Source organism: Homo sapiens, chromosome 18 (assembly GCF_000001405.40).
Source record: "Homo sapiens chromosome 18, GRCh38.p14 Primary Assembly".
NCBI classification, from domain to species: domain Eukaryota; kingdom Metazoa; phylum Chordata; class Mammalia; order Primates; family Hominidae; genus Homo; species Homo sapiens.
In genome coordinates this window covers 491,605-506,514 of record NC_000018.10, presented here as the reverse complement: position 1 = coordinate 506,514, position 14,910 = coordinate 491,605, and the positions used below count along the sequence as shown (strand labels likewise).

General features: G+C 45.8%; 1 protein-coding gene across 2 annotated transcripts in view, besides 1 other annotated feature; it reads left to right on the top strand.

Moving 5' to 3' along the window:
- Nucleotides 524–703: a silencer, noted in NCBI's record as "fragment chr18:505812-505991 (GRCh37/hg19 assembly coordinates)". NCBI's record gives its function as "represses an EF-1alpha promoter that drives an FKBP-Casp9 reporter gene in an ReSE screen in HepG2 liver carcinoma cells {active_cell/tissue: HepG2}" and the evidence as "EXISTENCE:reporter gene assay evidence [ECO:0000049][PMID:32094911]".
- Nucleotides 5,814–14,910, top strand: part of COLEC12 (collectin subfamily member 12) — a 183,965-nt gene continuing 174,868 nt past the window's right edge. For both annotated transcript variants that reach the window (XM_011525741.3, NM_130386.3), the window contains exon 1: nt 5,814–6,007. In XM_011525741.3, coding sequence (XP_011524043.1) covers nt 6,001–6,007 — 7 coding nt within the window. In that variant the 5' untranslated portion in view covers nt 5,814–6,000. The remainder of the gene's footprint in view (nt 6,008–14,910) is intronic.

The following is a 14,910-nucleotide window of genomic DNA, read 5'->3' as shown; positions in this document are numbered from 1 at the left end:
ACTGGTCTGGAGGGAGAGAAAGCATTTCCTTTGATCATTGGAATTCTAACCATCCTTCAGGGCCAGTCCCAGTGGAACTTTCCATGTTGACTTAGTCATCACCCATTTTCTTTCCTTCTCTAGCACTTAATCTGTGTCTTTCTCAGAACACTGAACACCCCTTCCCCAGTTTCTATCTTGTACTGTAGGTCCTTTCTAGAATGCCCTGTCTAAGCTACTGGTCTTCTGGATAGGTAATCTAGACTGTGTCTGATCCGACTTTGCATTCTCTGCAGCATGTGGCACAGTGCCCACATATACTTATTATATAAGTCATGCTTGTTGAATGAAGGGATCTGTCTCTAAATGGAGAGTTGTATTTTTAAAGTGGACCTGTGATATATAATAATGTATTGTGATCCTAAATGTCTCAAAATGGAGTCACTTATGACAAGTAACTCAACCCACAGTAAAATTGCCAACCCCTCAAAGTGATACGCATACGTATGGTGGATCGTGATGATAAGATAATACCTGCTGTGGCCAGGCACTACCCCACCAAGACCCAGCAAGAAAGGGAAGCCAAAAGGTGGCTGAGCTAATGACCATGAACTCTCCTGGGGAGGGCCATAAAACTGCAAAGAAACTAACCATGGCAAAGAAGCTTGAAGAAGCTCTGTCTGTGAGAACTCTGAAGCCTCCTTTAGTCTGGCAGTGGAAGCTCTGCTGGGTCCTCCCAGTAGAGGATTCACGTGGTTTCTTCCTCCTCTTTCTTATTATGACCTATGTGTGTTACATGTATTTGCATAGTTATTGGTGTATGAAAGCCTTGCAATAAACCTTTGAAAGCATTTAATTAGCCATTATTGAGTCATTGTGAAACCTCCCACAGTGTTAAAGTAAGCACAGCTAGGCTGACTGGAACCTGACATGATAACATGGATACATGTAGTGACACAGTGCAGGAAATAGGATGTTTTCAGAGGCAGAACACGAGGCACAAAGCCTCATAGATGGGAATAAGCCCATGACGTGTGGGGAGACACTAAATAGCCTGGCTGACAGGGAGCAAAAGATGCTGCATAAGGAGGGAAGAGACAGGAATGGGAAGGAGGTAGTGGTAACCATGAACGTTGCTGGAATATTCTGGCGGCCAGCTGGAGAGGAAGCTTAGGGAGTGTCAGAGATCAAGTGCAGTGATCCCAGCAGGCAGCACAAATGGACTGTGGCTCTCTCTCCTCCAGTATTCTGCCTTGCCTTGATCTCCCTGGACTCTCAGCTTCTCTTCTACCCAAGGTGCCCATCAGGCTCTGCCCAAGTTCCTTTTATCACAGGCTGGAAACTCTCTCAAGGCAGAAAGCTGGAGAAACTACAGCGTTCAGCTTGTTTGTTTCCCATCTCTCATCTGTCCTTCGTGGCTGCTCTGGCTGCTGTGTGTTGGAGCCTGGAGTGGAGAAGGTGCCAAGGTGGGCGTGGGGAGGCCCTTTGGAAGGTTAGTGCAGCAGCTCAGATGGGCTATGATGGCCTCTACATGGGGGATGCAGTGGAGATGGAGAGACAGAGAAGTTTGAGATGTATTTCTAAGGTAGAAGCAGGGCTTGGTGAGGATGTAGAGTTGAGGGAGAGGGAGGAGTCAAGGGTGATTGGGCTTTTTCATCAGTATAAAGGTGATACTAGCATGGGGCTGGGGTGAGGGGAAGATGAGATGATGCTTCCTCCAGATTCTGAAACTTTAGTCTGAATGCAAGGCCTGGCTGCTGCTTCTGGGGGTGGGGAAGCTTGCCTGTGACCTGGAGGACCTGCAGGCCATCTTTGAGTTCAAAGCATCTTCAGCTCCATGGCTCAGTCCTTTCCAATCACATTCTTCTCTTCTTTCCTTTTCCCTTCTTTTCTCCCTGATCCCCAGCTCAATTCTCAATTCCTCCCAGAGCTCTTGACCAGAGAAATCCTGATCAGCTGATGATCTGCATGTGACCATGACCTTCCGTCTTCATATCCTCCAGAGTGGGGCTCAGAGGAGGCTCCACACTGAGGACCTGTGGGGCCCAACTCACTCTGTGCTGAAGGTGACAGGGTGGGGGGAGGAAGGCACTCATCCAGGATTCCTTCTTTTTTTAGAGATGGGTTTCACTCTGTTGCCCAGGCTGGAGTACAGTGGCATGATCCTAGCTCACTGCAGCCTCAAACTCTTGGGCCTAAGCAATCCTCCTGCCTCAGCCTGATGAGTAGCTGGGACTACAGATGCATGCCACCACACCCAGCTGATTTTTAAATTTTTTGTCTCACTATGTTGCCCAGGCTGGTCTTGAATTCATGGCCTCAAGTGACCTTCCTTCCCTGGCTTCCCAAAGCCCCGGGATGAGCCACCGCACCTGGTCCCAGGACTGTTCCTTAAAATTATCCTTAGAAAAGTTGCTAAGCCTGTTTTCTCATCAGTAGATCTATGAATCTGGCTCATTATCACAGCTGACATCATAGCCTTAGGGGTTTCTTGTTTGTTTTTTACCTTATCATTCTTCTGTTTGAATTTTTTTATTGTAGTCAAATATATATATTTATCATCTTAGCTATTTTTCAGTGTATAGTTCAGTGGCTTTAAGTATATTCACATTGTTGTGCAACCATCACCACCATCCATCTCCAGAATTCTTTTCATCCTGCCAAATGGAATCTTTGTGCCTGTGAAACAACTCCCCATCCCCCCCCCGGCAACCACCATTCTACTTTCTATCCCTATGCATTTTACTCTCTCTCTCTCTCTCTTTTTTTTTTTTTTTTTTTGAGATGGAGTCTCACTCTGTCGCCCAGGCTGGAGTGCAGTGGCGCGATCTCGGCTCACTGCAACCTCTGCCTCCGGGTTCAAGCGATTCTTCCACCTCAGCCTCCCAAGTAGGTGGGACTACAGGTGCCAGCCACCATGCCTGGCTAATTTTCGTATATTTAGTAGAGACAGGGGTTTCAGTATGTTGGCGAGGCTGGTCTCAAACTCCCGACCTCGTGATTGACCTGCCTTGGCCTCCCAAACTGCTGGGATTACAGGCGTGAGCCACCACGTCTGGCGGCATTTTACTCTCTTTTATAAGTAGAATCATATTGGTCCTTTTGTGACTGGCTTATTTCACAAAGCATAATGCCTCAAGTTTTATCCGTGTTGTAGCATGTGTTAGAATTTCCTCCCTTTTAAAGACTGAATCATATTCCACTGTATGGCTATACCATATTTTGTTTATCCATTCATTCAACAGTGAACACTAGGTTGTTCCACCTTTTGGCTATTGTGAGTAATGTTGCTATGAGCCTGGATGTACATCTATTTGTTACCCTGCTTTCACCTCTTTTGGGTCCCAGAAATAGAATTCCTGGACTATATGGTAATTGTGTGTTTAATTTTTGGAGAAATCACCATACTGTTTTCCATAGTGGCTGTACCATTTTACATTCCCACCAGCAATGCACAAAAGTTCTAATTTCTCCGCATCCTCGCCAACACTTATTTTGTTTTGTTTTTTTTTTTAAATAGCCATCTTACTGGGTATGAAGTAGTAGCTCATTGCGGTTGATTCAAATTTCCCTGACAATTAGTGATTGAATATCCTTCATGTACTTATTGGCCATTATATGTCTTCTGTGGAGAAATGTCCATGTCAGTCCTTGGTTCATTTTCAAATTGGGTTGCCTGTTTTGTTGTTGTTGCTGAGGTGCAGGAATCCTTTATATATCCTGGATATTAATCCTGTATCAGATATAGGGCTTTTGCACATATTTTCTCCTATTCTGTGGGTTGGCTTTCCACTCTGTTTATACTGGCCTTTGAGGCACAAAAGTCTGATGAAGTACAATTTATCTATATTTTTTCTTTTGCTGCCTGTACTTTTGGTGTCATATTCATAATTTGGGTTTTAAAAACGATTTTTTTTTTTCGGCAGGGCGTGGTGGCTCACGCCTGTAATCCCAGCTCTTTGTGAGGCTGATGCCTGCGGATCGCTTGAGGTACGGTTTGCGAGCAGCCTGGCCACCATGGTGAAACCCCGTCTCTACTAAAAATACAAAAATTAGCTGGGCTTGGTGGCCCACCCCTGTAGTCCCAGCTACTTGGGAGGCTGAGGTGGGAGAATTGCTTGAATTCAGGAGGCAGAGGTTGTAGTGAGCCAAGATTGTGCCTGGGCGACAGAGTGAGATTCCGTCTCAAAAAAAAAAAAAAAAAAAAAGAAAGAAAGAAAAAAAAGAAAGCCGGGCGCGGTGGCTCACGCCTGTAACCCCAACACTTTGGGAGGCAGAGGTGGGCGGATCACGAGGTCAGGAGTTCGAGACCAGCCTGGCCAACATAGTGAAACCCCGTCTCTACTAAAAACACAAAAAAATTAGCTGGGCCTGGTGGCACACGCATGTAATCCCAGCTACTCGGGAGGCCGAGGCAGGAGAATCGCTTGAACCCGGGAGGTGGAGGTTGCAGTGAGCCGAGGTCACGCCATTGGTTAGTAAACTCCGGGCTGAAAATTCATATCCTAAGCTCCCTTCAGGGATCCCCATTTGCCCTGAAAGACAAGGCTGGTGCCCCAGTGAGATCTGAAACATGCTCCAGGACCAGGACCCTGTAGTTTCATCAACTGCAGACAGTGCGGGGGAAAAAGCATTTCGGTCTTTTCATTTGTTCGTCATGTTCAAGGTGCCCCCTTATGTTAAAAAATTAAAAAAAAAAAAAAAGAAAGAAAAAAGAAATCTCCTGGAACGGAGAATCTATGAAATGTTTCAATATGTATTCATTTTGGGGCACTACCTTTTACTAGAGCAAAGAATCCCCTACTTAGAGGGAACCAATGGATTGGTTACACCGTGTTACCAAGTCCTCAGGAGGGCAAACTGAAAAGCTGCAAGCACTGCCCGGCCAGTGTTCGATTGCTTTTGGTGGACTAGTGCGTCTGAGTAGCCATCTGTAATGTCAACATGTGGCAGAAAGTTTCTCCGCACCTCCCTCGCCCCAGCTCCACTCACCACTTAGTGTATGTTTTAAAGCAATAAAGCGATGGGTCTGCTTAGAGGGGGTTCTAAAGAGAAAGATAAACACGGGCTTTATTAAGTATACAGCAGGGCAATGTGACGGGCGACCACGAAGGGAACTCAGGGAGCCTCTCAGCAGCCCGGCCTCCTTTCGTAACAAAACTGGAGTCAACCCGATCATTTTAGGGGCGCTGGGTGGAAGGCTGGCTTTTCCAGCCAAGGCAGGATGTGCTGGCTTTTTCTCTGGAGGTGTCCAAGAGCGCAGAGAGAGTGTCTAATGGTGACTTCGGATTCTGGCCACTCGGGCTCTCCCTGGGTGACAGAGAGAGTGTTCCCTGCTGCTTGGTCTCCTTCAGGCGTCAACCAGCGCACGCACTTGGAAACTCTGAACCCGGAGGACGTTCTGTACCTCTCCATGCCCCAGAGCCGTTTGGGGAAGGGCCCACCTTACCCCCCGCCACCCCCGGGGCACAGCAGCTCCCCATCCTCTCGCCCAACACTTGCTAGGTAGTTTGGGGTGTAGAAGCGACCCCAGCAGCAGCGGCACCTTAGGTGCTCGCCGAAGGTGAACGCTGGACCGCCCCGGGAAGGGCTTTGCTCCCGACTTCATCCCGACGCTGGTGCAACGGGAAAAAGAGAGAGCCCGCGCGAGTGGGGCCAGGGCGCGCAGGAGAGGGCGGGCGAGAAAGTGCCCGGCGAGGGCAGGCGCGGGCCGAGGGCGGGGCGGGCGCGGGAGGGCGCGAGAGGGGCGTGGGCGCGGCCGCTCGCTCGGCCGGGTCGGGCCAGGGGGAGGGGCGCTGGGAGAGCGAGAGCGGCGCGCGCGGCAGCCCCGAGGCAGCAGAGCGCGGAGCCGGGAGCGCGGGGAGCGCGGGCCGGCGGCGGCGAGGGAGGACGGGGGCGCAGACGGCCGGCGCGCGGCGCGGCTACCATGGGCGTGCGGTGAGCAGCCGCTCGGGACGACTTCCTCGGCTGCGCGGCGCTCGCGCGGAGCTCCCCGGCCGGCGGTGCGTCCCCACGGTCACCATGAAAGGTAGGGCGGCGGCAGCTCCGCGGGGCTCTGGGCGGGGGGAACGGGCTTCGGGGCGCGCGGGAGGCCACGGAGGTGCCTCCCGCGCGAACCTTCCCTTGGGCTGCGGGCCCGGGGAGTCGGGGCTGCCAGGGCGCCGGGTTCGTGCGCGGACACTGGGGGCGCACCCGGCTCCCGGGTCAGGCGCGGCTGGAGACCTCGAGGTTGGGGTTTTGAAGCGCGCAAGTATTCCCCTCCCCATCGCGTCTTTGCAAGTAGTTTGAAGCCCTAAGTCGTTGTTTACGGATTCCCGTTTCCAACTTTTTAATTGAAAAAACCTGCCGAGGAGAGTGGAGGCATCGCCATCCCTCCCGGTCGCTTTTCCACGCCGCAGCGCTCCCCACGCTCGCCCAGTCCTCTCTCCTCCCGCCTCTAGCCGTTTCCCGGCCCGAGCGGTCCCCGCGCTGGCGGCCGGGTGTTTTCTCCGGGACTGGGGATGTTCTCCGTGCGCCCTCGCCACATCTGGCAATGATTAGGTGCCCGAGGAGTTCAGCTGGCTCGGGAAGTGCATTTGGCATCTTTCTCCATCAGATTCACCGACTGGAAAATAGTTGCCCTCGGTTCCGCGTCCCTTCCACGTGCCCGCCTTGGGGTGTGCCCACTGGTGTTTTGGGGTGACACACCTCAGCTGGTTAGTCGCCCCCTGCGCGGTGTCCTCTGCAGGCCGGTTTATGGAAGTGTCAGATGTTATCGTACTTTAGAAAGAAGCACGAGAAGGACTGCAGGGCAGCCTTCTGTTTAGTGGAAACACGGAGATTTGTCAGCGGAATCCTGATTTATGTATGAGATAAGTAACCGCAGCGGAGGCATCAAAGAGTCGTTCAGGAATGGGCCCGCGTGGTGTTTACACAAGGCTTCGTGTGAGAGTTGCTGGTTCTGTGCTAGGATAACACAGCCCTGCGTGGGTGCGAAATGCCATCTGACCGCGGTCACCCCGCTTCCAGCCGCCACAGACCTGGCGATGCAATCGCTTTGACTTCTAGGGTTGCCGTCCGAGGGAGGCGCCCGGGAAGCCCCAAGGCGCTTGGAAAGTAACTTTTGGCTCTGGAAAGTTTTTTTTCTGAAGGGCAGCTCCCGCGGAACTAACCGGAGCGATGATATCCTACCAATTCACTCCCTTTCCAAGGGCGTTAGGTGTCCACGTCGGGAGACCTCGGGAAGGGAGGTGACTGATGGCCAGGTGAAAAGTGGTCTGCCCCAGGGAAAAAGAAACAAAAGACACGATACAACTGCCTACCTAGAGAATTTCAAAATGCAGTGGCTTGCTTTCCTTCTGTCTCCATCTCAGTTTCTCTTCCCTCATTTACATTCTAGGAAATACACACATTCCTTAGCTGGCTCTGATTGAGGAGACTCCCTAGAAAGGAAAGAATTTCACATGGCTAAAAGTTATCTGGGGCTCAGTTATCATTTTAGCCAGAAGTGAATCTTCTCTGCTGGTCATTAAGACCAGTGGTTTTTAAAACTTGGGAAGATTAACCACCTACCCACTCCATCAGCTCCCACGTGGGTTCTTAAACCCTGAAACTTTTGTTATGCTTTTTACTGGGTAAAGGACCGCTATTGCACTTGAGACACTTTTCCACTTTACATTTGCACTGGAAAACATACCCAGAAGTCCTAAACACATTTTTGGAGAGATTTATGCTGCATTCTGGACCAGATGGTGGCCTACCCGCTGTGGTCTAGCGCTGCCCAGAAGCCCCATACACTTTCCGCCCCAGTCGGGGAGGTTGATGGAGGGACGGACTGGTGAATCCCCGGGTAGACTAATCATTTTGAAGCCCTCTTTTAAAAACGAAAATATTCCAGCGGGGCGCGGTGGCTCACACCTGTAATCCCAGCACTTTGGGAGGCCGAGGTGGGCAAGATCACTCGAAGTCAGGAGTTCGAGACCAGCCTGGCCAACATTGTGAAATCCTGTCTTTACTAAAAATACAAAAAATTAGCTGGGCGTGGTGGCAGGCACCTGTAATCCCAGCTACTTGAGAGGCTGAGGCAGGAGAATCACTTGAACCCAGGAGATGGAGGTTGCAGTGAGCCGAGATCGAGCCATTGCACTCCAGCCTGGGTGACAAGAGCGAGACTCCGTCTAAAAAAAAAAAAAAGAAAAAAAATATTCCATGAGAGTTTTGCCTACCAATTATTACCACGTAATCTGTATTTATTACATTTGTCTGAGTGGTGGGGTGGGGACGGGAGGGGCAGTAATAATTTTTTAGTACCTACTAAGTGCCAGCCACTGTACTATATACACTACAAACACATTGCAATTAATCCTCTCAACAGCCCTGAGAGTAGACATTTCAATCCTAACAGTATAGGTATGAAAACTGAGTCTAGAAGAAATAGGAACTGGCAACTAGGAGGATAGAGTAGGCATCTAAAGACAAGCCTTGTCAGTTACCCCGTGTGGCTTGGAAGGCCCTAAGACACCAAATAGATAACCTCTGGTGAAGATGACTGGAAAAAAAAGTGAATCTGAGACAACTAACTAGCCAAGTAACCCACAATTGGTGCTGTATCCAGGAAGAGGTGGAGCCAACCAGTTGCATGTGAGGCTTTGGAAGCCTAGACAAAAACGGAAAGCTGCTTTTACCAAGTGGAATTGTTTTGACCATTTGCCATAGGGAACCAACTAAAGATTTTCCCCGGGTTCCTGATTACATCAAATAGTTGTTAACTCCCCGTGCTTCAGAAAGCCAACATGATAGAAAGCAACGACAAGCCTTGTAAATTCTTAGAATAAACGTGTTAATCTAAAACATTCTTGGCCAGGTGCAGTGGCTCATGCCTGTAATCCCAGCACTTTGGGAGGCTGAGGCAGGCGGATCACCATATAGTGAAACCAGCCTGGCCAACATGTAATGAAACCCTGTCTCTACTAAAAAATACAAAAATTATCTGGGCCTGGTGGCGCATGCCTGTAGTCCCAGCTACTTGGGAAGCTGAGGCAGGAGAATAGCTTGAACCCGGGAGGTGGAGGTTGCAATGAGCCGAGATCGTGCCACTGCACTTCAGCGCAGGTGACAGAAGCAAGACTCTCTCAAACACACACACACACACACACACACACACACACACACACCCCATTCTTTAGCCAAATTGAAAATCAGTGGACACCATAGAAGTTAAAGAAGTTCATTTGCAAAAGCAAATATTCCTGTGCAAGTCAGATGCCTTTTTAGGGTACCAACGTGACTTTCTAATTCTGATATTTAAACCTGGATATGGCCTTTGTAGTGACCAGGCTCTTGGAGTGTAATCCTGCATCTGCCAGTCAGTCACAGCGCCACCTATCTGTTGCATTCAGCAAACATCCATTTCCTCCATCCCTGGAGTCACAAGTACCAAAATAATGACATCATTATATATTACCCAGAAGAAAATGACTTTCCCCGTTGCTGCAGTACTTGAAGTCTTCCAAACTGATTAAAACATGAAGTTTGTTTTAATTTATTTCCAATTTCATTTTCAATTAGCTGTACTACACCATCAATCTCATGGCTTTTTGGATACATATTCACATTCTTGACGAAGGAATCTGACTCCTCTAGAGTTACGTGTGTCGTTAACTAAATCACATTCTTGGTTCTTAAAGTTGGGGATATTGGTTAGTTTCAGTGCAGCAGCACTTGTTGCCTAAGAGACAACCAAAAACAGCTGCCACCACCCGGGACCACAGAGGTCCAAACCAGTGTTATAATTTAACACAGAGAGGAGGCTGGTGCCATGAAAACACAGTGTTCAGCTGCTTATTTTTGTACTTTTGTGCATAAATATTTCTGAAATACAGTTTGGCAATAATATATTTAAAATGCACTAGTAAGCAGTATACTTCTCCCAAAGTTTTTTGGGACTCACAGTCTTTTTGCTTTTTCAGTGTCTCTCTGAGATTTCTTGTTCTTAACTGGGATAAGCAAACAAGCCTATAAAGGCAATTGCATTTAACATTGAAAGAGTCATATTTTCTAAAGGAAAATGGAAACAAAATGAGGCCTTTTTCCCTTCACTGATTGGTAATAGGGGCTGCCCTTCTCTGGGAGGCAAATTTACAATCTAATTATACTTTTGACTTTTCATTAGTTTGGGAATGCTTGACATTCTTAATCTGAGGTTTAATTATTGCTAAGTATACATCTTCTCTGTGGTCTCCTATGCAATTTCCCACGGTTGTTCCAATGGCTCCAACCCTTTGCCATGTGGCTCATCCACTGATAATGGGGTGAATAGAAAAAGCTAGCCGATGATGGCTTTCAGGCTATGTCATAACAGAGTATCTCATTTTCCTACTAAATGCCTATTCTCATTATAATATTATTTCAAAACAACTCTTGCAACCGCTGCCAAATAAAGTTAAATGGACCTTGAAGTATTAGCTTTCAAATGGGAAAATGGACATTTAAATTTTGTGATAGAAAATATGTTTCACCCTGGGTAAAACCAGCATGTGGGTAATCTCTCAGGGAGGCCAGCCTAACACAGACTTCCCTTTAATAATAGCTAACATTTATTGAGCACCTGCCATGCCAGGCATTATCATTTCCTCCATTTTATGATAGGAAAACTTAGGTTCAGAGAGGTTGTGTTACTTGTCTAAGGGTACCCAGCTAGTTGGTGGCGGGGGGGATCAGTATTCAGGCTCAGACTGTCTGATTCCAGAATCACATGTGTAATCTCTAGCCCAGGCTCCCTCCTAGCTATGCCCTAATAATGCATTCAAGTCCTACATCTTTGTGAAGTCCTACTGTGTGCTGTCACGCTCCACTAGATACTGAGTGAGCAACGTAGACAAGGCGCTATCATCCGGACTTAGAACTGTAATGACCTAGCATCAAAGGTCTGAAGGATTGATGTGTTCTTCAGTCAGCCAGTGGAGGAGACGCTCTAAACTGGAGCTGTTGCAAAGATAAAGCAGATTTCAGGATTGCTTCCCTGTGTAGCTTATCTTCTGGGAGGTTTTGCTTACCGCTGATTGAATGAATGTGGATGGCCCACTGTAGCCACCAACTCTGAAAACGGCCCCTACACTCGTCTTGCTAACAGGTTTGCATTGAGAAAATGAAATATTGTCAGAAGTGCCATTTTCATGAACAGACTGTAACCACCGGTGAGTGATCAGTAAAAATAATGATACTACTAAGTATTTTAAACCAGGAACAGGGAAGTATAGACATTTTTCATAGAAGGTTCATTCTTTACTGCTGACAACAGAGTTTCTAACCACACCAACCATCCAAACCTTAAGGGAAGTAACTTCTTAGTCAAGCAGTGATTTGATTTCTTTTTCAGTGCATGACATTTGAAGAACCAAAACCAGCATCATACCTCAAAAAGGTCCTGCTGATTGCTTAAGGGTGTTTTGTAATTATACAGCAGTGAAAGCCAATATAAACATAAATTAGTAATCCCAAATTAAGATTCCAAAGAGATCCTAGGAGCTCTCTTAACTTCTGAATTTGTCATGAATATTCCATCAATACTCTTAAAAATAGAAAAGAAATGCATTTTTCAGCATGGGGGTTTTAAAATGAAATACACTTATTGGACTTGGATATATTAAACATGACTCCTTTATGCTTCCTGAATGATGGGATATCATACCTCAGTATCACGTGAGGTATTATTCACTAGCCTGTGACGTTGGATGTTTTACATTTGGTGTGAAAAACTCACTTGTCTCTGGCTCTGTGGAAGAAGCCACATTTCTTTTGCCCCAGTCATTTTCTTATGACAGAGAAATGTTAGGAAACTAGCTGATGTTTATAAAACAATTTATTATTCAAAGGCAAAACAGTCCTACTTTAAAGTAGATAATATATGCTTTAAAATATAACCATCTCATAAAATACAATTATGTTTAGTGATCCCAGGTGTTGAATCCAATCATTTCTGTGTGCTGGGCGAGGAGTGTGGGCTCTGAAACCAAGAGAGCCTGGGGACCTCAGGCAAGTCACTTAACCCCCTGGGGCCCCAGTTTCTTTATCAATGTGATGAGGGACAACAATGGCATCTACTTGATGTTGTTTAAGGATTAAATAGTTGTTTAGAATGGTGGCTAGTATGTAATAGGAACTCAAGTTGTTTTAGTAATTGTAATATTGTATTATAACCTGCTGCTTCCTCCCAGCAATAAGTTAATTGCCAATTATGAGCCATCTATGTTCATTTAATCAGTGATGTAGTTTAGACCATGAAGGCAAATGTTCAGTTCTGAAATGAAAGTAATTTTCAAATTGCAAATGTGTTAAAACAGACCTCAGGGATAGAAGGAGTGAGTTGTGCTCCACGTGGGGAAGTATTAGTATTGGTTGCATTCCAGCTGCCGTCACTGCTATCATCATAAAAAATGCAGGGATAATTCCCAAAGTGAAGTTTGTAATTGTAGTAATGAAACAGTTTTTCTATTTGTTATAGTAGTGGTAGAAAATTGATAAATATGTGTAAGTATATTTAGATTACCTAGGAGCACTGTTTTTTTTTTAGTACTATTGCTCACGTGCCTACTGATGACATGATATTTTTAAAGATCTGTGTTTCAAATCCAGTGTCCGGTTTTATCCAGTAAGGATATGACATCAAGGAATCACAACATTAAACAAGTTTGTCTCTAAATAAGTATTCGGACAGATGTATGTATAAGTATGTTTTTAAACCATATGATGTCATGTCTATTTCATCAGTAGTATTAGTTTTCCATTAAGCTGTCATATTTCTGTTTTATTATTTATAATTGGGCCACCAAGTTCTAACTAGCCTTCATTTATTCTTTAAACAAATATTTGGTATTAACTTTCTGTGTGCAAGGCCCTCTAGAAATGCCAAATAAAATGAATAAAATATAGCTTCTGTGCTCATGGAGCTTGCAGTCTGGTAGACAAGACAAGACTTATGCGTAAACAACTGGAATCCAAAGTAGAGAGTAGAACATGCCCTGTTTGAGGTTCAGATAATCTGGCTGAAGACAGGGACATTTTCATTTGCAGGAGAGATTTGAATTATAGTTCATATTTCAGATTACATTATATTTCATATCTTGAATTATATTTCATATTACATTAATAGGGCAAGCAACATTAAAGAAAAATGTCTTAAAAGAGAGGAGGGCTGAGCCTGATGACTCGTGCTTATAATTTCAGTGCTTTGGGAGGCCAAGATGGGAGGGTTGCTTGAGGCCAGGAGTTTGAGATCAGCCAGATCAACACAGCAAGATCCTGTCTCCACAGAAAATTTAATGGGTGCGGTGGTGAGTGGCTATAGTCCCAGCTACTTGGGAGACTGAGGTGGGAGGATCCCTTGAGCAGTGGCACAGTCTTGGCTCACTGTAACCTCTGTCTCTTGGGTTCGAGCGATTCTCCTGCCTCAGCCTCCCAAGTAGCTGGGACTGAGTACAGGTGCGTGCCACCATGGCCAACTAATTTTTGTATGTTTTGTAGAGACAGGGTTTTGCTATGTTGCTCAGGCTCGTCTCAAACTCCTAGCCTCAAGTGATCTGCCCGCCTCAGCCTCCAAAGTGCTGGGATTACAGGCATGAGCCACCGTGCCTGACCTGAAATCTCTTAAGTGTGACATTTCAGTGTGGGAGGTGAGAGGAAACCAAATTCAGAGTCTTCTTGAATTGTGTCTCTTAAACTCAAAACGTTGGTCCAACATTTGTAAATAATTATAGTATATTGCTTTGGCATAATTGTTTAGATAATCTAAACAACGTTAATGGATTTCAAAACAAAAAGACGTATCGGTGTTATTTTTAAACCAAAGACCTCTTTTTTTTTTTGTCTCCAGAGAAATGGACAGCATTAGTTTTTCTTGCCAAATCACCCATGTATTTGAGGCCCTGCCAAGGCCCTTATTCAATTTAAGGCAGAGATTCAAGGCCTCATTCTGACTCTCTTATTAACATGATTAAAATGACTGGATGAGAATTTTCCTCATAGAAGAAAGGGAAGTGCATCACCTCCACCATAATCACCTATGAATGATGAATGCAGATGTCAAGGTTTTGGATGTCGTACTTACTGATTACTTCTAAGTTCTTGCAGTTGGTGGCTGTGGGGAAATCTGATTTAGCCCCCACTGCCAACTTAGGGGTAAAAGTAACAAAAACACCCTTTCTCAGTTTTGTTAGACTGTAAAGGAAGGAATAGGGTACCCATGCCTCTTTATTCTAAAAGCAAGTATCTGCCATTTTTACAAGCATCAGAATTGCAAGTTGTGCCAGAAATTGGAGTCATTTTATGTCTATAATTTTGACTTTTGACTTGAAAAAACTGTGCAATTGAATCAAAAGTGATCCCATTGTTGCAAAACAAATTCAGTAAGCAGCTGAGTAATCAAAATGAATCTCCTGTGATACTTTAAAATAATCTACAAGTATTTAAACTGCTACAGATTCCTTCATCCATTTGGAGTGAAACAGTTGAATGGAAGGCCGATCTAATTACCCCCCTACAAAATATCCTGAACCTCAGATACTTTGTTACGCTGCATTGAGTTCATTCACCAGGAGAATACATAATAACTGTGTTCCAGAAATGCCAAGACTGGAAAAAGGAAACCATGCGGGGAGCCAGGTTTACATTTGTAAAGCTATAAAACCAGGGCAAATATTACCGATACTGTGCTTAGGGACATATCAAGATAAAAGGACACCTTTCTTCAGTTTTTACAGCCCAAAATACGTTAAGATAAATTTTCATCAATATCAACCAGGTACTTCAGTGCCAATTTGCTGAAGCCCAAATAGAACCTGCAGCACGCATTACTCTTTTGCTCATCAAGCTTTCCTGTTGGTCCTTCCCCCAAATAGTCACCTCAGAATGGAGTTTTGTGTCTTTTGAAGCCAGATGATTAAAGTTCTAGGATAT